This window comes from Homo sapiens, chromosome 11, assembly GCF_000001405.40.
Source record: "Homo sapiens chromosome 11, GRCh38.p14 Primary Assembly".
Lineage (NCBI taxonomy): Eukaryota > Metazoa > Chordata > Mammalia > Primates > Hominidae > Homo > Homo sapiens.
This window is the reverse complement of record NC_000011.10, coordinates 129067695-129092257: the sequence shown is the minus strand read 5'-3', so window position 1 is coordinate 129092257 and position 24563 is coordinate 129067695. Positions and strand designations below refer to the sequence as shown.

Below are 24563 nucleotides of genomic sequence, written 5' to 3'. Positions count from 1 at the left end.
CATAACATGAAAAAAATAAAAAAAAATCTGTGCTGTTTTTTAAAATGACCTTCAGAAGGCAAGCATGGTATTTTGGTACCAAATATTATAACGTATAATTGTTACTTGATTTTTATATTCATGTACAGTATTAGTGACCTAGATAGATAGTTCGTTTCCTGGTATAAGTATCTTGTCAAGCTTCTTAAAAAATTTCATACTACTTGGTATACCATTTGTTATATCAAAGTAGTAATTTAGTGCATTGTAATAATGCATTTGCACCTGTTCTTTGCCTCATTGTATGTAATCATTGATATATTCCCATGGCTTACTCCTGTATTCTTGACATATTGTGTTAGCCATAACCCATATTAGCCTAGAATCATACTTTTTTATAACTAAGAGAGAAAAAGACATACAATTAGACCCTCTAATTTTGCAAGTGAGGAAACTGAGGTCCAAATTACTGAAGTTGGTGTCCTAAGCTATACAGAGTGTTAGCAGTGGGGACTACAAGGATTTCAGTTTCTTGACTGCCACCTTTTTCTGTGTCTATTTCACTCTATAACAAATTTGAGAAACTGCTTAATCTTCAGATAAGACCACCATTATACACTGATGTAATCTGTTTCAGAGTCTACTTATTTACAAATTTTATATCTCTGTCAGTTTCTACTTTTTAATAATATCACTTGATGTTCTTTTTATTTAACCAAAATTCTTGGTCCTTCATCTTAACCCTTTCTTCTCTTATTCTGTTAGCTTATAAAAGTGACAGATTGATTGGCTGTGATCTTTTTTCTTTCTGTAAGTTAAGTGATACTGATTTCTTTCAGTCTTATCTTGGAAACTTTGAAATGTGTCTGTGCCTGCCCTTAAAAGTTTTTATTTCTTTCTAAATTGTGAGCCCAGAATTGTAAACTGTCTTCCAGTTTACATTTGGAACCTTCAAATCTAGAGCCCCTAAGGGAGCACCCAGGCCAACTGGGGACTGTAATCTTAGTGATAGTAAAAATATTTAAACAGCTGATACAGCATGGACCCAAAGCAATAGAACAGATACTAGTTATACCGATCTCATTTACCCATATTGGTGTGTCTTAGCTGAATACTAGCCATGGATAAAATGCTTTTTAAGATGTCTTGAATAATAGGTCTGTGATGCTGTGGTGAGCCCACAACTCCCTCCCTTTCATAGTAATTAATTAGAATTACATGTCGTGCTGCAGATATCCCCTCCCTTATCTTTTTATTCTGTTCTCTGAGTAAACGAACAAAGGTGTCTGTTGAGAGAACAAACAGATCAGCTACTGTGGATGAGGAACCTTCTCAAGAAAGTTAATGTATTTAGTTTGAAATTAATGGAAATTAATAAAAATTCTAGTAATCTCAGGAATATGTCACAGTAGATATAAAATTTAATAATTTTAAAAGGCCAAAATTAGATAAACCCTGACACTAATTATATTGAGCCCCACTACACAGAATAAAACGTTTTGTGAGTTTAACATCAGTGTTACCAGGTCCTAAAAGTATTCTGTCTTTTAGTGCTTTATTCTTTAGCAAATAAGCATCAGCTTTTAAATGTTCATTTTAAAATGGCAAATTTAAGCCCATCTGTGGTGGGCGTTTTTTTCTACCTGTGCTGTAATAAAAGTCTTGTTTTGATCTTTTCCTTCTGTAAATCTAGTTTTGTTGGTATAAGAATAATTGTTGCTTAGTAAAATACTTAGGATTTTAATGTTTCACTGTCAGCTTTATAGTAGTTGATATTAATGGTTCCTATTCAAGTTAAGAGTGTATTAACTACCTTTGTATTTTAAGCAGAATTCATCAATATTTAATAGTTTGATTTTTCTGAAGATCAAGTATTTTATAAATATATACAGTAATCTGAATGCTCTTGTGTCATGGTAGGTGGGTTAATCACTTGGTTTCAGGGGAATGCTTCCTTGCCTCAGAATATCTCCTGTGCTCTAATGTTCTCATGCTTGAAATTCCATCATCAAAAATGCATTCCTTGATATTAAGTAACTCCTTTTCCATTCAGGGCATTAGAAAATGCTGTTAACTACAGGAGTGGGAGTAAATATTAACATTTATAGAACATATGTGCATGAACAAAATATATAGGCAGATTGCCAGGATTTTTATTTAACCTCATAATGCTTCTGTGAAAGGTAGGTGTCATTTATTCCCATTTCATAGATGAGTAACGTGCTGTTCATTGATGTTGAGTAACTTGCATACATTTCTGTATTTAGGATAGGGCCAGGCTGAGATTTAAGTCTCTCCCTCTCTCTCTCTTTTCATTGAACTTCATCCATTTAAAAAGATAATTGATAGCATCCATTGTTTTTCAGATAATCCCATGACAAAGGGACTTCCAAGGACATAAGCAAAGACTGTTCTTAGAATGACAGTTATTTCTAAAATTTGTCCATTTCTTTCCATTTTTATTGTTACCAAGCTAGCTCAAGCATGATCTCTTGTTTGGGCTGATGTTTGCATCCTATAATCTATTATAACCTTATAAACTGCCAGAATGGTATAAAATGTAAATCAAATATTGTTAGTATCGTGGTTGAAACTCTTGGATAGATTCCCACTGCATGTGGAGCTAAACCCAAACTGCTTACCGAGGTCTACGAGGGTCCTACACAATCTGGGTATCCCTGCCTCTTCTACATCATGTCAGGACCATCCCTCCTCACTCGCATGCTGTGGTCACACCAGCTTTCGGGCAGTTTGTAAAAGGGCCTGAGTTCTTTCCTGTACTTTGATCATCCCATGACTCCGTTCACACTGTGCTCTTGCTACATCTGGTAGCTTCCCAGTCTTTAGGACTTGATTTAGATAACACCTCCTTAGAAAGGCTGTTTCTGACCCTATGTGAAGTAGATCCCTCCTTATTTCTTCAGAGTATGAAACTATCATTTTATTTATGTGTTTGTTTACTTTAAAAAGTATTTGTTTTCCTCACTAGAAACAAATTCTAAGAAGTCAAAGGTTTATTGTTTATCATTTCTGTATCGCATCTCTAGTGCTTACTACAGTGCTTAGCACCATGTGAGTGGTCAGTAAATAGCTAGTGAATAAATGAGTGAAAGAAGAACAAATTCTTATCATAGAAATCTGATCCTACATATGTTGGGATATTTTTTTCTCATTCTGCATCCTCAGCCTTATCAAGAATTGTTGATTTTTGTCATGCTTGGATAGTAGTAGTTGGTAGTAATTGGTAGTAATGCTTGCTCTTTTTTTTTTTTTTTTTTTTTTTGACAAGGTCTCTCTCTGTCACCCAGGCTGGAGTACAGTGGCATGATCACAGTTCACTACAGCCTCGACCTCCCAGGCTCAAGTGATCCTCCTGCCTCACCTGGCTAATTTCGTACTTTTTGTAGAGACAAGGTTTTGCTGTGTTGCCCAGGCTGGCCATGAACCAGCTCAAGTGATCCACTTACCTCTGCCTCCCAGAGTGCTGGGATTATAGGCATGAGCCATTGTGCCCAGCTGGTAGCAATAATTACTAAGATGAAAAATTAGCAAATTAAAATTTTGGCAGGAGTATATAAGGAAGAGATTTTGATTTATTCCTTTACAAAGTCATTGAACTTTAAAAATACTCTGATTGTTTATTCAGTCTGTTTGGAAATTGGTTGATCAAGGCTCTATTTTATTGATTGATTGATTGATTGAGAAGGAGTCTCGCTCTGTCACCAGTCTGGAGTGCAGTGGTGTGATCTCGGCTCACTGCAACCTCCAACTCACAGGTTCAAGTGATTCTCCTGCCTCAGCCTCCCGAGTATCTGAGATTACAGACACATGCCACAGTGCCCAGCTAATTTTTGTATTTTTAGTAGAGACGGGGTTTCACCATGTTGGCCAAGATGGTCTTGAACTCCTGACCTCGTGATCCACCCACCTTGGCCTCCCAAAGTGCTGGGATTACAGGTGTAAGCCACCGTGCCCAGCCAATCAAGGCTATGTTTTTACATATGAAAGTACTTTACATTTAAAGTTCTTGTTTTATATCTGCTGAAAATACAAAGTATTTACTAGTTTTATAATTTTACTCAGTGAATTTAACGTAGTTTTAGATGATTTGCAAATTATGTGTTAGAGTTTTAATTTTATAAATGGAGATGTATATAAAAGATTAGACTTTTTGCTGGCCTAAAAATATTTTTAAGAAGTTGAAAGAAATCACTTCATGAATATATGAGGAACTACATTTTGAAATCTAATTCCCTGCCTTAACTTTTTGAAGCTCCCGAAGGCATTTGTGTGGTTGGCAGTTGACACTTATTTTTTTGAGTAACACTACTTAGATGGAAGATGATTATTTTTCAAAAAATTAATAACTTTTTATTTTTCAGACAAGTTTTACATTCACAGCAAAATTGAACAGGAAATATAGAGTTCCCATAAGCTCCATGTTTTGACACACATGCAACATCCCCCACTATTGACATCCCACACCACAGTGGTACATTTGTTATCATTGATGAACTTACATTGTTACATCATTATCGCCCAACTTTATAGTTTACATTAGGGTTTACTCTTGGAGGTGTATATTCTATAGGTTTAGAAAAATGTGTAATGACATGTATCACCAGTATAGTATCATACAGAATAGTATTATAAAAATCCTCCGTGTCCCTCTGATTCATCTTTCCCTTTTCTCTAACCCCTGACAACCACTGATCTTTTTACTGTCTCCCTAGTTTTTGCCTTTTCTAAGATACCACATAGTTGGATTCATACAGTATATAGCCATTTGGATTGGCTTCTTTCACTTAGTAATATGCATTTGAATTTCCTACATGTCTTTTTATGGCTTGAGAGTTCATTTCACTTTAGCACTGAAAAATATTCGTTGTCTGGTTATACCACATTTTATGTATTCATTCATCTACTGAAAGACATCTCAGTTGCTTCTAGGTTTTGGCAATTATGAATAAAGTTGCTATAAACATTTGCACGCAGGTTTCTGTGTGGACATAAGTTTTCAGTTCATTTGGGTAAACACCAAGGAGCATGATTACAGGATTGCATGGTAAAAGTGTTTTTAGTTTTATAAGAAACTGCCAAACTGCCTTTGAAAGTGACTGTGCCATTTTGCATTCCCAGCAGCAATGAATGACAGTTCCTGTTGCTCTACATCCTTGCCAGCATTTGTTGTCAGTGTTTTTGGATTTTGGCCATTCTAATATGTTATGTAGTAGCATTTCATTGTTTTAATTTGGAATTCCCTAATGACATATGATGTTGAGCATTTTTATATGCTATTAACCATCTGTATATCTGTCTTCTTTGGTGAGATGTCTGTTCAAATCTTTTGCCTGTTTTTTAATTAGGTTGTTCATTTTCTTACTGTTGAGTTTTATGAATACTTTGTGTATTTTGGTTTACAGTGCTTTATCAGTGTGTCTTTTTTTTTTTTTTTTTTGAGATGGAGTCTCACTCTGTCGCCCAGGCTGGAGTGCAGTGGCGCAATCTCGGCTCACTGCAAGCTCTGCCTCCCGGGTTCACGCCATTCTCCTGCCTCAGCCTTCTGAGTAGCTGGGACTACAGGCGCCCACCACCACGCCCGGCTAATTTTTTGTATTTTTAGTAGAGACAGGGTTTCACCGTGCTAGCCGGGATGGTCTCGATCTCCTGACCTTGTGATCCGCCCGCCTTGGCCTCCCAAAGTGCTGGGATTACAGGCGTGAGCCACCATGCCCGGCCATCAGTGTGTCTTTTGCAAATATTTTCTGTCGATTTATGGCTTATGTTCTCATTCTCTTGACATTGTCTTTTGCAGAGCAGAAGTTTTAAATTTTAATGAAGTCCAGATTATTATTTATCTTTTTCATGGATCATGCCTTTTGTGTTTTTTAAAAATATCATCGCTGTAACTAAGGTCATCTAGATTTTCTCCTTTATTATCTTCTAGGAGTTTTATAGTTCTGTATTTTACATTCATTCAGTCTGTGATCCATTTTGAGTTAATTCTTGTAAAAGGTGTAAGGTCTGTGTCTAGAATCGTTTTCTTGTTGCATGTGGATGTCCAGTTGTTCCAACACCCTTTAACAAGTCTGTATCATGTGTCCATTGTATTGCCTTTGTTCCCTAGTCAAATGTCAGTTGACTTTTATATGGGTCTGTTTCTGGGCTCTCTATTCTGCTCCATTGATCAATTTGTCTGTTCTTTTGGCAACACCATGCTGTCTTGATTAGTATGGCTTCTTTTTTTTGTTTTTTTTTTTTGTTTGTTTGTTTGTTTGTTTTTTTGAGATGGAGTCTTGCTCTGTTGCCCAGGCTGGAGTGCAGTGTCATGATCTCAGCTCACTGCAAGCTCTGCCTCCCGGGTTCACGCCTTTCTGCTGCCTCAGCCTCCCGAGTAGCTGGGACTACAGGCGCCCGCCACCACGCCTGGCTAATTTTTTTGTATTTTTAGTAGCGACAGGGTTTCACCATGTTAGCCAGGATGGTGTCAAGCTCCTGCTGCCCGTCTCAGCCTCCCAAAGTGCTGGGATTACAGGTATGAGCCACCGCACCCAGCCTAGTATGGTTTTATTATAAGTCTTGAGGTCTGGTAGTGTCAGCCTTCCAACTTTGTTTTTCTTTTCTTTCAGTGTTGTCTTGGTTTTTCTGGGTCTTTTGCTTCTCCATAATACTTTAGAATCAGTATCAACAAAATAACTTGCTGGGATTTTGACTGGAATTGTATTGAATCTGTAAATCAGGTTTGGAAGAACTGGCATCTTGACAATATTGCCTTCTTATTCATGAACATGCAACATTTCTCCATTTATTTAGGTCTTTGACATCTTTCACCAGAGTTTTGTAGTTTTCCTTATATAGCTGTTAGGTGTATTTTGTTAGATATATAGCTGTCTGTGTAGTTTGTTTTTTGGGTGCTACTATAAACATTAATATATTTTTAATTTCAAATTCCCCTTGTTGTGTGCTGGCTCATGCCTGTAATCCCAGCACTTTGGAAGGATTAGTAGGAGGAATGCTTGGCGACTGAGGCTAGGAGATTGAGATCAGGGCAACATAGTGAGATCTCATCTCTATAAAAAAATTAAAAATTAGCCATGTGTGGTGGTGTGTGCCTGTGGTCTCAGCTACTTAGGAGGCTGAGGCAAGAGGATCGCTTAAGCCTAGTACATTGAGGCTGTAATGAGGCATGATTGTACCACTGCACTCCAGCCTGGATGACAGAGTGAGACTTTGTCTCTAAAAAAAAAAAATAATAAAACCAAACAAAATTTCTCTTGCTCATTGCTGGTATGTAGGAAACTGATTAGGTTTTGTATATTAACCTTATATTCTGCAGCCTTGCTATAAATCATTTATTAGTGCCAGGAGTTTTTTGTCAGTTCTTTTGATTTTCTGTATAGATAATCCTGTCTTCTGCAAACAAAGTTTTATTCCTTTCCAATCTGTATACCTTGGGTTTCCTTTTCTTATTGTATTAGCTAGGAATTCTGATACTATCTTGAAAAGAATTGATTACAGAACATCATTGCTTTGTTTTTGATCCAAGCGGGAGAGTTTCAAGTTTGTCACCATTAAGTATGATGTTAGCTGTACGTTTTTTGTAGATGCTCTTTCTCAAGTTATGGAAGTTCCCTTTATTTCTGGTTTGCTGAGAGTTTTTTATGAATGGGTGATGGATTTTCTTAAATGCTTTTTCTGTGTTTATTGGTGAAATCATGTGATTTTTATTCTTCTTTAGCCTGTTTATGTGATGGATTACATTAGTTGATTTTCAAATGTTGAACCAGCCTTGCATTCCTGGGATAAATCTCACTTGGTAGTGGCATGTAATTGTTTTTATATATTGTTGGATTATAGTTGCTAGTACTTCATTGATGATTTTTGCATGTATGTTCATGAGAGATATTTGTCTGTAGTTTTTTTTTTTTTTTCTTTTTTCTTAGAATGTCTTTGTCTGGTTTTGGTCTTAGGAAAATGTTGGCCTCCCAGAAGAAGTTAGACACTTCTCTCTGCATCTGTCTTCTGGAAGAGATATAGAGACTTGCTATAATTTCTTTCTTAAATGTTTGGTAAAATTTACCAGTGAATACATCTGGGCTTACTGGTTTCTGTTTTGCAAAGCTATTAACTGTTAATTAGATTTCTTTAAGGCCTATATCTTTTTCTTCTTGTGTGAGTTTTGGTGGATGTATCTTTTTAAAAATTGGCCAGTTTCATCTGTGTTACAAATTCACAGGCATAGAGTTGTTCCTAATATTTTTTATTGTCCTTTTAATGTCCATGTGATCTGTAGTGACGGTCCTTATTCATATGTAATGTTAGTAATTTGTGTATTTCTCTCTGTCTTTTTAAGTTAGTTTGGCTAGAAGCTTCTCAATTTTATTGACATTTTCAAGCAATTCACTTTTGGTTTTGGTAATTTCTGTTTTCAGTTTTGTTGATTTCTGCTCTAATTTTTAGTATTTATTTTCTTTTCTTTACTTTGGATTTAATTTGCTCTTCTTTTTCTAGTTACCTAAGGTAAAACTTAGATTATTGTTATTAGATGTTTCTTCTTTTCTATTTCAATAGCTTTTTGGGGAAGCGGTGGTGTTTGATTATATGGATAAGTTCTTTAGTGGTGATTTCTGAAATTTTGGTGTACCCATCACCTGAGCAGTGTACACTGTGCACAATGTGTTGTCTTTTATCCCTTCTTCCCATCATCCCCCTGCCAAGTCCCCAAAGTCCATTGTATCATTCTTATGCCTTTGTGTCCTCATAGCTTAGCTCCCACATTGTACGAACATACAATGTTGGGTTTTCCATTCCTGAGTTATTTCACTTAGAATAATGGTCTTCAACTCCATCCAGGTTGCTGTGAATGCCATTATTTTGTTCCATTTTATGGCTGAGTAGTATTGCATGGTATACCACATTTTCTTTATCTACTCATTGATAAATGGGCATTTGGGCTGCTTCCATTTTTTGCAGTTGCAAATTGTGCTGCTATAAACATGTGTGGGCAAGTGTCCTATAATGACTTACTTTCTTCTGAGTAGATACCCAGTAGTGGGATTGTTGGATCAAAAGGTAGATCTACTTTTAATTCTTCAAGGAATGTCCACACTGTTTTCCATAGTGGTTGTACTAGTTTACATTCTCACCAGTTTTCCCTTTTTACCACATCAATGCCAACATGTTATTTTTTTATTTTTAAATTATGGCCATTCTTGCAGAAGTAAGGAGGTATCACACTGTGGTTTTGATGTGCATTTCCCTGATAATTAGTGATGTTGAGCATTTTTTCATATGTTTGTTGGCCATTTGTATATCTTCTTTTGATAACTGTTTATACCCCTAGCACACTTTGTGGTGGAATTATTTGTTGTTGTTGTTGTTGTTGTTGTTGTTGTTTTGTCTTGCTGATTTATTTGGGTTCCTTGTAGATTCTGGATATCAGTCCTTTGTCTGATGCATAGTTTGTGGAGATTTTGTCTCACTCTGTGGGTTGTTTGTATACTCTGCAGAAGATTTTTAGTTTAAGTCTCATCTGTTTATCTTTGTTTTTGTTTCATTTGCTTTTGGCTTCTCGGTTATGAAGTCTTTGCCTAAGCCAGTGTCTGGAAGAATTTTTCCAATGTTATCATCCATAATTTTTGTGGTGTCAGGTCTTAGATTTCAGTCTTTGATTCATCTTGAGTTGATGTTTGTATAAGGTGAGAGATGAGGATCCAGTTTCATTCTTCTACATGTGACTTGCCAATTATCCCACCACCATTTGTTGAATAGGGTGTCCTTTCCCCACTGTATGTTTTTATTTGCTTTGTCAAAGATCAGTTAGCTGTATTTGGCTTTATTTCTGGGTTCTCTGTTGTTCCGTTGGTCTGTGTGCCTATTTTTATACCAGTACCATGATGTTTTGGTGACTGTGGCCTTATAGTGTAGTTTGAATTTGGGTAATGTGGTACCTCCAGATTTGTTCTTTTTGCTTAGTCTTGCTTTGGTTATGTGGGCTCTTTTTTGGTTCCATATGAATTTTAGGATTGTTTTTTCTAGTTCTGTGAGAAATGATCATGGTATTTTGATGGGAATTGCATTGAATCTCTAGATTGCTTTTGGCAGTATGGTCATTTTCACCATATTGATTCTACCCATGAGCATGGGATGTGTTTCCATTAGTTTATGTCATCAATGATTTCTTTCGGCAGTGTTTTATAGTTTTTCTTGTAGAGATTTTTCACCTCCTTGGTTAGGTATATTCCTTAGTATTTTATTTATTTATTTATTTGCAACTATTGTAAAAGGGATTAAATTCTTGATTGTATTCTCAGCTTGGTTGCTGTTGGTGTATAGCAGTGCTGTTGATTTGTGTACATTGACTTTGTATCCTGAAACTTTACTAAATTCACTTATCACATCTAAGAGCTTTCTGGATGAGTCTTTAGGGTTTTCTAGGTATACAATCATATCATTGGTGAACAGCGACAGTTTGACTTCCTCTTTACCAGTCTGAATGCCCTTTATTTCACTCTCTTGTCTGATAGTTCTAGCTAGGACTTCCAGTACTATGTTGAATAGAAATGGTGAAAGGAGGCATCCTTGTCTTGTTCCAGTTCTCGGGGGAATACTTTCAACTTTTACCTGTTCAGTATAATGTTTGCTGCGGGTTTGTCATAGATGAGTTTTATAAGGTATGTCCCTTCCATACTGATTTTGCTGAGGGTTTTAATCATAAAGCAATGCTGGATTTTGTCAAATGTTTTTGCTGTGTCTATTGAGATGATTGTGTGACTTTTGTTTTTATGTTTATGTTGTGTATTACATTTATTGACTTGGTTATGTTAAACCACCCCTGCATTCCTGGTATGAAACCCACTTGATCATGGTGTAATATCTTTTTGATATTCTCTTGGATTCAGTTAGCTAGTATTTTGTTGAGGATTTTTACATCTGTTCTTCAGGGATATTGGTCTGTAGTTTTCTTTTTTTTGTTATATCTTTTCTTAGTTTTGGTATTAGAGTGATACTGGCCTCATAGAATGATTTAGGGAAGATTCCCTCTTTCTCTATCTTTTGGAATAGTGTGAATTAGGATTGGTACCAGTTCTTCTTTGAATGTCTAATAGAATTCAGCTGTGAATCCATCTGGTCCTGGACTTTTTTTTGTTGGCAGTTTTTAAAATTACCATTTGAGTATTGCTGCTTGTTATTGGTATGTTCAGAGTTTCTATTTATTCCTGGTTTACTCTAGGAGGGTTGTATAATATATTTCCAGGAATGTATCCATCTCCTCTAGGTTTTCTAGTTTATGCACATTTAAAGTAGTTCATAATATCTTTGAATGATCTTTTTATTTATGTGGTTTTAGTTGTAATAGCTCCCATTTATTTCTAATTCAGCTTAGTTGGATCTTCTCGTTTCTTTTCTTGGTTGATATTGCCAATGGTCTAGTGATTTTATTTATCTTTTCAAAGAACCAGCTTTTTCTTTTATTTTTCTTTTGTATTTTTTTTTCTTGTTTCAATTTCATTTAGTTCTGCTCTGATCTTGGTTATTTCTTTTCTTCTGCTGGGTTTGGGTTTGGTTTGTTCTCGTTTCTGTAGTTCCTTGAAGTGTGACCTTAGTTATCTATTTGTGCTCTTTCAGACTTTTTTGATGTAGGCATTTAATGCCATGAGCTTTCCTCTTAGCACCACTAGTGCTGTATCCAAAAGGTTTTGATAGGTTGTGTCTCTGTTATCGTTCAGTTCAAAGAATTTTTAAATTTCCATCTTAATTTCATTGTTGACCCAACAATCATTCAGGAACAGATTATTTAATTTCCATGTATTTGCATAGTTTTGAGGGCTCCTTTTGGAGTTGATTTCCAATTTTATTCCACTGTGGTCTGAGAGAGTACATGTTATAATTTCGATTTTCTTTAATTTGTTGAGATTTGTTTTGTGGCCTATCATATGGTCTGTCTTGGAGAATGATCCATATACTGATGAAAAGAATGTATATTCTGCAGTTGTTGGGTAGAATGTTCTGTAAATATCTGTTAAGTCCATTTGTTCTAGGGTATAGTTTAAGTCCATTATAGCTTTGTTGACTTTCTGTCTTGATGACCTATTTAGTGCTGTCAGGAGAGTATTGAAGTCCCCCACTATTACTGTGTTGCCATCTGTCATTTTTTAGGTCTAGTAGTTATTATTTTACAAATTTGAGAGCTCCAGTGTTAGGTGCATATATATTTAGGATTGTGATATTTTCCTGTTGGATTAGTCCTTTTATCATTATATAATGTCGCTCTTTGTCTTTTTAAACTGTTCTTACATTAAAGTTTGTTTTGTCTCATGTAAGAATAGCTACTCCTGCTCACTTTTGGTGTCCCTTTGCATGGAATATCTTTTTCTACCCCTTTACCTTAAGTTTATGTGAGTCCTTGTACTTAGGTGAGTCTCTTGAAGACAGCAGATACTTGGTTGGTGAATTCTTACCCATTCTGGTGTTCTGTATCTTTTAGGTGGAGCATTTAGGCCATTTACAGTCAACATTAGTATTGAGATGTGATGTACTATTCTATTCTTCATGCTAGTTGTTGCCAGAATACCTTATTTGTTAGTTTTTCATTGTTACTGTTTTATAGGCCCTGTGAGATTTATGCTTTAAGGAGGTTCTATTTTGGTGTATTTTGAAGTTTTGTTTCAAGATTTAGAACTCCTTTAAGCATTTCTTGTAGTGCTAGCTTGGTAGTGGTGAATTCTCTCAACATTTGTTTGTCTGAAAAAAACTTTTTTTTCTTTCATTTACGAAGCTTAGTTTTTCTGGATGCAAAATTCTTGGCTGATAATTGTTTTGTTTCAGGAGGCTAAAGAGAGGCTTCCAGTCCCTTCTAGTTTGTAAGGTTTCTGCTGAGAAATCTGCTGTTAATCTCATAGATTTTCCTTTATAGGTTACCTGATGCTTTTGCCTCACAGCTCTTATGGTTCTTTTCTTTAGAAACCCTGATGACTATGGGCCTAGGTGATGATCATTTTGCGATGAATTTCCTGGTTGTTCTTTGAGCTTATGTTTGGATGTCTGGCTCTCAAGCAAGGCCAGGGAAGTTTTCCTTGACTGTTCCCTCAAATATGTTTTCCAAACCTTTAGATTTCTCTCATTTCTTGGGAATACTAATTATTGTTACGTTTAGTCATCTAACATTATCCCAAACTTCTTGAAGGCTTTGTTCATTTTTTAATTTTTTTTCCTTTGTCTTTGTTGGATTGGGTTAATTGAAAGCCTTGTCTTTGGGTTCTGAAGTTCCTTCTTTTACTTGTTTGAATCTATTGTTGAAAATTTCCAGTCTATTTTGCATTTCTCTAAGTGTGTCTTTCACTTCCAGGAGTTGTGATTTTTTTTTTTATTTATGTTATTTCTCTGGAGATTTTTTTGTCCATATCTTATATTATTTCTAAAATTTCTTTAAGTTGGTTTCACCTTTCTCTGGTGCCTCCTTAAGAAGCTTAGTAATCAACCTTCTGGCCGGGTACGGTGGCTCACGCCTTTAAACCCAGCAGTTTGGGAGGCTGAGGTGGGCAGATCACCTGAGGTTAGGAGTTTGAGACCAGCCTGGCCAACATGGTGAAACCCTGTCTCTACTAAAAATACAAAAGTTAGCCACGCGTGGTGGTGTATGCCTGTAATCCCAGCTACTCGGGAGGCTGAGGTGAGAGAATCACTTGGACCCAGGAGGCGGAGGTTGCAGTGAGCTGAGAACGTGCCACTGCACTACAACCTGGGTGACAGAGTGAGACTCTGTCTCAAAAAAATTAATAAATAATTAGCCTTCTGAATTATTTTTCTTGCAATTCAAAGAGTTCGTTTTTGTTCGGATCCATTGCTGGTGAGCTGACGTGATCTTTTGGGGGTGTTAACCTTGTTTCGTCATCTTACCAGAGTTGTTTTTTCTGGTTCCTTCTCATTTGGGTGGACTATGTCAGAGGAAAGATCTTGGCTTCAAGGTCTGCTGTTCAGATTCTTTTGTCCCACAGAGTGCTCTCTTGATGTGGTGCTCACCCCCTTCCCCTAGGGATGGGGCTTCCTGAGAGCTGGACTGCAGTGATTGTTATTGCTCTCCTGGATCTAGCCACCCAGTGGAGTTACCAGGCTCCGGGCTGGTGCTGGGGAGTGTCTGATGTGATCCATCTTCAGGTCTCTCAGCCATGGATGCCAGCACCTGCCCCAGTGGAGGTAGCAGAGGAATGAAGTGGGCTCTGTGAGGGTCCTTGGTTGTTCTGTTTAGCATACTGGGTTTTTTGAATGCTTGTTATGCTAGCAGTGAAGTTGTCAGGTGGACAGACTCAGGTCCTGTGGTTAGCCAGGATGTTACAGGTTGTGGAATTAGCTGTCATTTTCTCCTTTCTTAGAGCAGTTTTTTAATGAGTTGCTGTAATGGCGTGAGTTGGTTTGCTTCCAGCCAGGCGGTGGCGCTTTGAAGAGCATCAGCTGTGGTAGTATAGAGGGGATACAAGCTTGGCTAAGGTCTCCTGGATAAGTAGTTTGGTTTCTCAGGTGAAGGGTGAGGCCATGGAGTTCCCAAGGGATTATGTCTTTTGTCTTCAGCTACCAGGGCAGGTAGAGAAAGACCATCAGGTGGGGGTAGCGTTAGGCGGATCTGAGCTTGGGTGAGGGTTGCTGCAGGTGCTGTGGGGGATGGGGTGTGATTCTCAGGCCATTGGAGTTATGATCTAAGGGGGATTATGACTGCTTCTGCTGCATCATACAGGTCGCTAGGGAAGTTGGGGAAAGTTGGCAGTGACGGGTTTCATCCAGCTCCCATGCAGCCAGGAAGGCCAGTCTCATTCCCACTGTCCCCCATCAACAGCACCAAGTTTATATCCTGTCAGCTGGTGAGCAGGACTGAAATCTTGCCCCAGGCTACAAGCCTCCCTGCTGAGAAAACACGCAGGGCTTTCAGGCTTCACCCCTCCCCATCTACCTTGTCTTCTGTACTCCTATCTGTGCTTCCTGTTTACCTCCCAACCCAACCTGGATTCTGCGTAGGAAAATTTGCGCTTCATCAAAGTTATTACAGAATTGAGCTGGAACTTTCCTTTTTCCTGTGGTCTATCCCCAGTTCCACTGGCATCCCTCCCAAAGAACCCCTGTGAGATAAAGTCAGAAATGGCTTCCCTGGGCCTCTCTAGGGACCAGGAAGTGCCCAGGAAAGTGTCTACAGGGCTCTTCCAGCTGCTGCTTCTACTTTTATATTTCACTCAGCTCTCTAAATTCATTTCTGCTCTAGGTAAGGTTAAATCTTTCTTCCATGATCTGGATTTTCGGGTTCCCCAGTGAGGATGAGTGTTCAGAGGCAGACTTTCCCCCTTTCACACTTGGGGCACTCACAGTTTTTCAGCTGTCTCATGGAGTTTGCAGCAGCCAACTGCTTTTTTCCAACGGTTTGTGACTTCTTTTGGTTTTCCTGGTATGTTCCTGGGATGGTTTTGGGAGGAAGAGTTCATGATGTGAGCCTCCACATGCTGTTCTGTCTGTCCGAGTGGGATCTGCAAGTTAGTCTTGCCTCCTAGCCACCATTTTTCTCCTCTCTTCTTTTCTGATGCATGCGTTCAATGCTATGGATTTTTCTCTAAGCACTGCTTTCACTGCCTCCCACAAATTTGGGTAAGTTGTATTTTTGTTTTTATTTGGTTCAAAATATTTAGTAATTTCTCTTGAGATTTCTTCTTTTACCCATGTTTTATTTAGAAGTGTGTCATTTAATCTCCAAATTTTTTGGTATTTTTCAACTATTTTTTCTATTATTGACTAATAGTTTAATTCCTTGTGGAAATTTTTTCTATTATTGACTAATAGTTTAATTCCTTGTGGTCTCATTACTGAAAAGAGGTCCTGATCCAGACCCCAAGAGAGGGTTCTTGGATATTGCACAAGAAAGAATTTGGGGAGAGCCCATAACGTGAAAGCAAGTTTATTAGAAAAATAAAGGAATAAAGAATGGCTACTCCATAGGCAGAGCAACAGCATGGGCCGCTCGTTGGCTATTTTTATGTTATTTCTTGATTGTATGCTAAGTAAGGGTTGGATTATTCATGGGTTTTCTAGGGAAAAAGGGTGGGTAGTTCCCAGAACTGAGGGTTTGTCTCATTGTTAGATCATATAGGGTAACTTCTTGACGTTGTTATCTCATTTGTAAACTGTTGTGGTGCTGGTGGGAGTGTCTTTTAGCGTGCTAGTACATTATAATTAGTGTATAATGAGCAGTGAGGATGACTAAAGGTCACTTTCATCACCATCTTGGTTTTGGCGGGTTTTGGCCGGCTTCTTTACCGCCTGCTATTTTATCAGCAAGGTCTTTGTGATCTGTATTTTGTACCGACCTGTCTCATCCTGTGACTTAGAATGCCTAACCTCCTCGGAATGCAGCCCAGTAGGTCTCAGCCTCATTTCACTCAGCACCTCTTCAAGATGGAGTCCTTCTGGTTCAAACACCTCTGACACTCTGTGAGCAGACATATTATGAATTCTGTTTTTTAAAAACTTGTTATGGTATGTTTTATGCCCCAGAATGTGGTCCCCAAGATACAGTGACTGTTCCATATGAGCCTCAGAAGCATGTGTAATCCGTTGTTGTTAAGGTATTCTATCAATATCAATTATATCCAGTTGATTGATGGTACTGTTAAGTCAACTATTTTCTTATTGATTTTCTGCCTACTGGATCTATTCATTTCTAATAGGGGGGTGTTAAATAATTTCTTATAGAGGGTGTTAAATAATTACAACTGTAATTATTTCTCCTTGTAATTTAATCAGTATTTGCCTCACAGTACTTTCATAGTCTGTTTTTAAGCACATAAATATTAAAGATTGTTTTATGTCTTCTTGGAGTATTGATCCATTTGACATTACTGAGTGCCCCATTTATCCCTCATAACTTTCTTTGCTCTGAAGTCTGCTCTGACTGAAGTAAATATAGCTATTTTTGCTTTTTTAATTAAAAAATTAGTATGGCATCTCTTTATCATTTTATTTTAATCTATCTTATATTTAAAGTTGATTTCTTTTAGACAGTTGGGTCCTGTATTTGATCCACTCTGACAGTTTGTCTTTTAATTGGTATGTTAGACCACTGATGTTTAAAGTGATTATTGATGTAGTTGGATTAATATCTGCCTGTCATTGTTGCTGTTTATTGCCCTTGTTCTTCGTTCCTATTTTTGTTTTCCATACTTTGTCTCCTTTTTGTGTGTTTTTTTCCAACTTTATTGTGATATATATAATTGTCAAATAAAAATTACATATATTTAAGGTGTAGAATGTGATATTTTGATATGTGTATGCGTTGTGCGATGATGACTGCAGCTGAGTTACATATCCATCACCTCACAGTTACCTTTTTTTGCATGTGTGGTGAGAACACTTATGATCAATTCTCTTTTTTTGTTTTTAATTGAGCATTTTATATGTTTCCATTTTGTCTCCTTTCTTAGAATATCAATTACATTAAAAAAAATTTTTTTAGGCCGGGTGTGGTGGCTCATGCCTGTAATCCCAGCACTTTGGGAGGCCAAGGCGAGCGGATCATGTGGTCAGGAGATCGAGACCATCCTGGCTAACATGGTGAAACCTGTCTCTACTAAAAATACAAAAAATTAGCCAGGCATGGTGGCAGGTGCTTGTAGTCCCAGCTACTAGGGAAGCTGAGGCAGGAGAATCGCTTGAACCTGGGAGGCGGAGGTTGCAGTGAGCCGAGATCAGACCACTGCACGCCAGCCTGGGTAACAGAGCGAGACTCCATCTCAAAAAAAGAAGAAAAATTTTTTTTTTTAGTGGTTGCACTACAGGTTGTGATATACATTACAACTAATCCTAGTTCACTTTCAAATAATTATACTGCGTCATGGATTGTGCAGGTGCCTTGTAATAAAAATTATTTGTAATTCCTCTCTATCCTTTGTATTATTACTATCATTCATTTTACATATAGAAATCATACATAAGTATATACATATACACATACCTCCATACACATATATATGTAAAACACACATAGTCAAGTACATTGTTGTTGCTATTATTTGAACAAACTGTTATCTGTTGTATCAATTAAGAATAAGGAACCAAAGTTGTATTTTACATTCACTTATTCTTCTCCATTACTTTTCCATTCTTTATGTAGCTACAGGTTTCTGATCTGTGTCATTTTCTTTTTCTTTAAAGAACTTCTTTTACATTTCTTACAGAGCAGGTCTGCTGGCCACAAATTTTCTCAATTTTTGTTTGACAAGCTTTATTTCTCTTTCATTTTTGAGGGATAATTTTGCAGAGTATGGAATTCTAGGTTGCTGGGTAGGGGTTATTTTGTTAATACTTAAAACATTTACTCTACTCTCTTCTTGCTTCTGTGGTTTCTGAGAATATGTTATATAATTCCGATTTTGACCCTCTATAGGTAAGGTGTTTCCCCCGCAAACTCCCAGCTTCTTTCAAGATATTTTCTTTATCTTGGATTTGCTGAAGGTTTTTTTTTGTTGTTGTTGTTTTTTGTTTGTTTTTTTTTTGAGGAGGGTGATGCAATTTATCCTGCTTTATGTTCTCTGAGCTTCCAGGACTGGTGATTTGGTGTCTCGGTCATTATTGCTAGAAATATTGGTTTTGCTCCTTTCTCCATTTCTTCTCCTTCTGGTATTTTCAGTATGTATGTATCATACCTTTTATAGTTTTCCCACAATTTCTAGATGTTCTGTTCCTTTTCTTTAGTCTTTTCTCTCTTTGCATTTCAGTTTTGGTTGTTTCTATTGTGATACCCTCAAGCTCCAATTCTTTCCTCAGCTGTGTCCAGTCAACTAATGAATCCATCAAAGACATTCATCATTTCTGCTTTTGATCTCTAGCATTTTTTTATTCTTTGTTATAATTTCCAATTCTCTGCTTACATCTGTTCTTGCATATTGTCTACTTTTTCCTTAAAGCTTTTAGCAGATTAATCATGTTCTTTTAAATTATTGGTCTGATAATTCCAACATTCCTGCCATCTTTGACTCTTTTTCTGATGTGTCTTCAGTCTTTTTAAACGGTGTTTTTTTCCTTTTAGTTCACGTTGTGATTTTTTGTTGAAGGTGGACATAAGGTGGGTCAAAGAAGTATGTTAAATAGCCCGTTAGTAATGTGATGGTAAGGTGTGTGTGTAGGGGGAAGCATTCCATAATCCTGTGATTAGGTCTCAGTCTTTTTGTGAGCCTGTGCCTCTGAACTGTGAACTTCACACGTGAATCTCAGTTCACAGCCCTCCATCCTGCACCTTTAGGTAGGACACGATGACTGGAGTGGGCTGGAGTTTGGTATTCCTCTTCTCCCCAGTGGAAAGCTTGAAGAAGCTGGAGCTGTATTTTCTTCTTACTCCAGAAAATGAGGCTGTGGTAAGAGTTTTTCCTGAGGGCAGACTTTGTTGAAAACATAGTGTTTGGGTGTGTTTCAGAAGTTTATTTTCTCCTGTCCCTCTTAAGAGCACAAGGAGATTTTTTTCAGATATTTACTGTGAGGACCTAGTAGAGCTCACAAAAGTGTGTGGCTCCCGTGACGGGGTTCTCTGGGAGTTTTTATTGCTCAGACTTGTCATCCCTGAGCCTCTAGCAATTTATCAATTATAGATTAAGTTTTCCTACCCTAGCACTGGTTCCCACAGAGGTTTCTGCGTGTGGATTTCTGCTGTGGGTAAGTGCAATTCTCTGTATTTACCTGTCTGCCTCTAATTTGGGAGGGGGATAGTGATTTGTTCCGTGACCCCACTTCTGTAACAGATCTAAGAAAGATCTGTTGATTTTCACTTTGTTCAGCTTTTTACTTGTTAACCAGTGACTTCTGAGCTCCTTACATAGCAGACCAGTAACCAGAAGTCCAGTGATTACTTTGTAACTAGACGGACATTGATCACTTCTGAAATGGAACTGTATCATGAATGTATTTTTGTATGGCCTGTCATTTCCATGTGGTACTTGGTAACACAAAACCAAATGAACTAGAAGTTGAGCTGGCAGAACAAATAAAAAGCGTATAACAAAAAATATTTTAATACCTCTTTTAAAAATATATTTTAAATACCTCTGTGGGAAGAATGCCTGAAGCAAATGAGACCAACACATTTCTTTTTTTAGTGATTCATATTCTGAAGTTATTTATTTTTTCTACCTTAACTACTTATTACTTATTCCTCCTAACTACAACTTTGTACCCATTGACCAACATCTCTTCACTTTCCCTATCCTCAGCTCATGTTAATCACCATTCAACTCTGCTTCTATGAATTCAGTTGATTCAGATTCTACATGTGAGACCATGTGATGTTTGTCTTTTTTTGCCAGGCTTATTTTATTGCGCATAATGTCCTCCAGATTTATCAGTGTTGTTGCAAATGACAGGATTTCCTTTAAGGCTGAATAGTATTCCATTGTGTACGTATACCACATTTGTTTTTATCTACTGATCCAGTGATGGACACTTAAGTTGATTCCATAACTTGGCTATTGTAAATAAGGCTATAGTGAACCAAGGAGAGCAGATATCTTCTTGATATACTGATTTCAAGTTCTTAGGATATATATCTAGATGTGGGATTATTGAGTCATATGGTAATTCTATTTTTAGTTTTTTGAGGAACCTCCATATAGTTTTCCAAAATGGCTGTACCAATTTATATTTCCAATAAAAGTGTATGGGGAGTCCCTTGTTTCCTTTTCTCTACAGCTTTGCCGACACCATCTTTTGCCTTTTTGATAATAGCCATTTTGACGGATGCAAGATGATATCTCATTGTGGTATTAATTTGCACTTGCCTAATGACTAGTGATATTGAGCATTTTTTCATAATATCTGTTGACCATTTGTATGTTATCTTTTGAGAAATGTCTGTTCAGTGCTTTTGCCCATTGGTTAATTGGGTTATTTTTTTTTTCTGTAGAGTTCTTTGAATTTTTAAAATATATTTCAGATATTAACCCCTTATAAGATGTATTTTTTCCCAATCTGTGGAGGTTTTCTTTGCCCTGATAATCATTTTCTTTGCTGTGCAGAAGCTTTTTAGTTTGATATAATCCCATTCAAGACTAACTAATTTCTCTTTGAGATCTTTTAAGCAGAAAGTTCAATATTGTGTAATAAACCATTTAATAAATAACATCAGTATACATTCAAGGAATTTTCTTGATTGTAACTCACTGAGTGTTACAGCTCTCAAAGGCCTAAGTAGGTTACAGCTCTCAAAAGGCTAATAGTTCCATCAAATAATTTGATTAAACATACAATTATACTGTAGTTTGATGATATGTTATAGTAATATACAATATACTCAGTAGAAAGGTTGGCAAAAATATGAATTTTTTATAAAAGAAGAAATAAAAGTGACTGAGAAATATGAAATTGTGTTTAGCTTCATTAAGTCAATAAAAGGCAAATGAAAGAAGATACAGTTTTTCACCTACTGGAAAATTTTTAAGTCATTATTTTTAGTATTTGTGAGGATGCATTTGAAATAGACCCAAGCAGTAAAAATTGGTACAACGTGTCAATTTTTAGGAATTTTGTATGTATTTATTTTAACTTTTCATTTCACAACGATTTTAGACTCACAGAAAAGCTATAAAAATAGAACAGAAATATCCTATTTACCCTTAACCCAGTTTCTGCTAATGTCACATTTTTAGGAATTAATGCTAAGAAAGTATAAGACATTGCAACATAAACTTAAATACAAATGTGTTATTTATAATCTTGTTATCAATTATTGTACTGTCATCTTAGAACTCCCAAATCTGTCAGTTTGGAAGTTTAAACACCTTTTTCAAAATCAGTCTTTATTAGTGGAGGCATTGTTCTAGTGTCTGGCTGGGCATGTTAACAATTTAACCAAACTAATATTTGCCTGCTATACTCCATGCATGATAGATGCATGAGCAATATAGCATGCAAAAGTTATTTTTATTCCAGACAGCTTTAACAGTGAGAAAAATACCAATAGTGATAGCTAATATTTAATGAATGGTTTCCAGGGAGTCTGTTAAGCACCTTACGTGGATTATTTCACTTACTCTTCTGACAACCCCAGTTACTATTAGCCTCCCCATTTTACAGATGAGGAAACTGTGGAATAGTTATATATGGTCAAGTGATTAGCACATAGCCTAGGGTAGTATAAATTCAGATCTTGCATTCTCAATTACTGGCTGCTGTTCTCATTCTTTCTCTTTTTCTTCTTTCTTCCCTCTGTTTCACACTTATGTAGCTCTAGAAATCTATTATGTAAGACAAGGGAAAATGATATTCCAACTAGCAAAGATTACCTTATAATACACCAGAACACTCTCTATTTCCTAAAGAGTGTTGGCTGAAAAAGGATTAGAAGCAAAGCCAATTTCTCTTCTACAAGCACCAGGCACCAAAAAATGCAGGACTACATTTCAGTGATCTTGACCACTTCTTCCAAAGGAGTAATAAATGTGAGCCTACCAAATTGCAGATCATTTCTCTCCTCACCTTTAATACCATGGAATAATTGTACACATGTTTGGAGTTGAAGCCTAATACATCTTCTCGTGAAAAGGAGCAGAAAAACAAAACATAAGTGAATGATCACCAGGGCATGCTGAATTATTCCAAAACAATAATGTTGAATTTGAGATTTTATTCTCCAAAGCTGAAGCTGATGATTCAGCCAATATGGAAAGCAACCTTTGATCTCTAAAGATATATTAACTTTTAGCTGACTGAAACCCTGATGCACTAAAAAGTAATTGTTAAGAATGTTCTTTTGTCTTTTGAGTTGTTGAACATTGGTGACTGGTTGCTTGTTCTGCTAAATATCCTGAGAATTTGTTTGGAAACCTTGTTTTCTACTTTTGGTAGGTTCAGCCCAGAGTAAGTTCTCCAAATTAATAGAGAGTAATAGCTAGCATGTATTGAGCAATTTCTATCTGCCTACTACTAAGCACTTTACATTGATTTATTTGATTTAATTCTTAAATAACCAGGATTCACAATTGGGACATTGTGGTCCTAGAGCCAAGCTATTAGCTGTGTATTTATTTCAGGAGTTGGTAAATCTAAATATATTCAGCATCTGTATAGGTAATGTTAGTTAAGGAAAATGGCTGGGTGTGGTAATGACATTGGCAAACTTGTGCTTGCTGTGCTGTACCTAAATGTTTTCAAATGCAGTTTCTAAAAACACTGTAGGCCACACCCAAATCAGAAGATATAATGGATAAATTTGAAATACTATGGGTGATGGCTGTAAGGCCTTCTCTTTCAGATGAAAATTTAAATTATTTTATTGGATACTTATTTTCATACTTGTTCTTTCACATACCTGTGTGAAAATTTCAGCAAACTACCTAATCTGTGATTATATTCATAAAGAAGGAAATAAAGTTTTATGTTCCTTCTTTTTGATGAGATACTGCAAATTGAGGGGACAGTCTCAGACTTGGATAAAGTGTTTTACAATACATGTCAATTATGAAGATTATTTTTCCAATATATTAGTAAACAAATCTTCTAGAAGTCAATACATAAAAGTCATTGTAATAGAGAAAATGAACAGGATTTTGGTAGTAATAGGCAATTCATACAAAAAGAAATCTTAATAACAAATGAAAAGATGCTAAGCTTCACTCATAATCAAGGGAATGTAAATTAAAAGAAGATACCATTTCAACTCTATCTGGTTAGCAGTGCTGTAAATTCTGATGATGCCAAGAATTGCAAGGATTTGGGGGCAGTGGGAACTCATATGCTACTGTTGGGTGAATAAATTGGTGTTACCACTTTGGCAAATTTGAAATAAAATGATGCTTGTACATCATAACTTGGCAGTTCCCAGGAATGCTTTGGGTAGAAGGTAGTGATAGAACTGAGAAAATAAAGGAGTTTGCTTGAGCAAAGCATCAAAGAAAGAGCTAACATGACAGGAAGAACAAACAGCACTTACAGAATCATGAAGGCAAGGAAAGGAACATTCAGCTCATGAATCGAATACATGCAAATCATTCAATATAACTGGAAGCCAAGAAAGGGCATGGAGTAATAGCCAGTAAGATCAGTCTGGAAATTTAGACAGGGCCCAGATGATAAAAGCTGTGAAATGTGGGGATAGTTTGGGTTTAATCCTGTAGACCAGTGGCCCTCAATTCAGGCTGATCGTCAGAACTAACTGGATCCCTTTCCAGACTTAGTGAATTAGCATCTCTTAGAATAGGGACCAGGACACTGTTCTTCAAAAGTCTCAGTCACATTGCTTCTCTGCCTTTCAGCCAAGGTCAAGTGTAGAAGTCTTGACCACATCTATTATTTCATTCTTAGAACCCTCTGAAAGAGGGAGCTGGTAATGACTTTTTGTCTATGTCGTGGAGGATTACAGTCCAAAGTGGGATTATGCAAGTTTATCATGTTAATTTTTGAGACACTAGTGATTAGAAATCAGCACCCTCTCATGAGGTGATACCCTCTGTTTCTGCTCCAGTTGTCTGGGGCAGATGGAGGAACTGGTGTCTCTGAAGGCTTTTTCTTTCAGACCCTCCAGATTTTTATGAGCCAAAAGGCTCTACATAAAAATTAAATTACATTGC

At 36.8% G+C, this 24563-nt stretch overlaps 1 protein-coding gene across 13 annotated transcripts in view; it reads left to right on the top strand.

The window, feature by feature from the left end:
* ARHGAP32 (Rho GTPase activating protein 32) overlaps positions 1-24563 on the top strand; it is a 314573-nt gene that overhangs the window by 187375 nt on the left and 102635 nt on the right. The window lies entirely within an intron of this gene.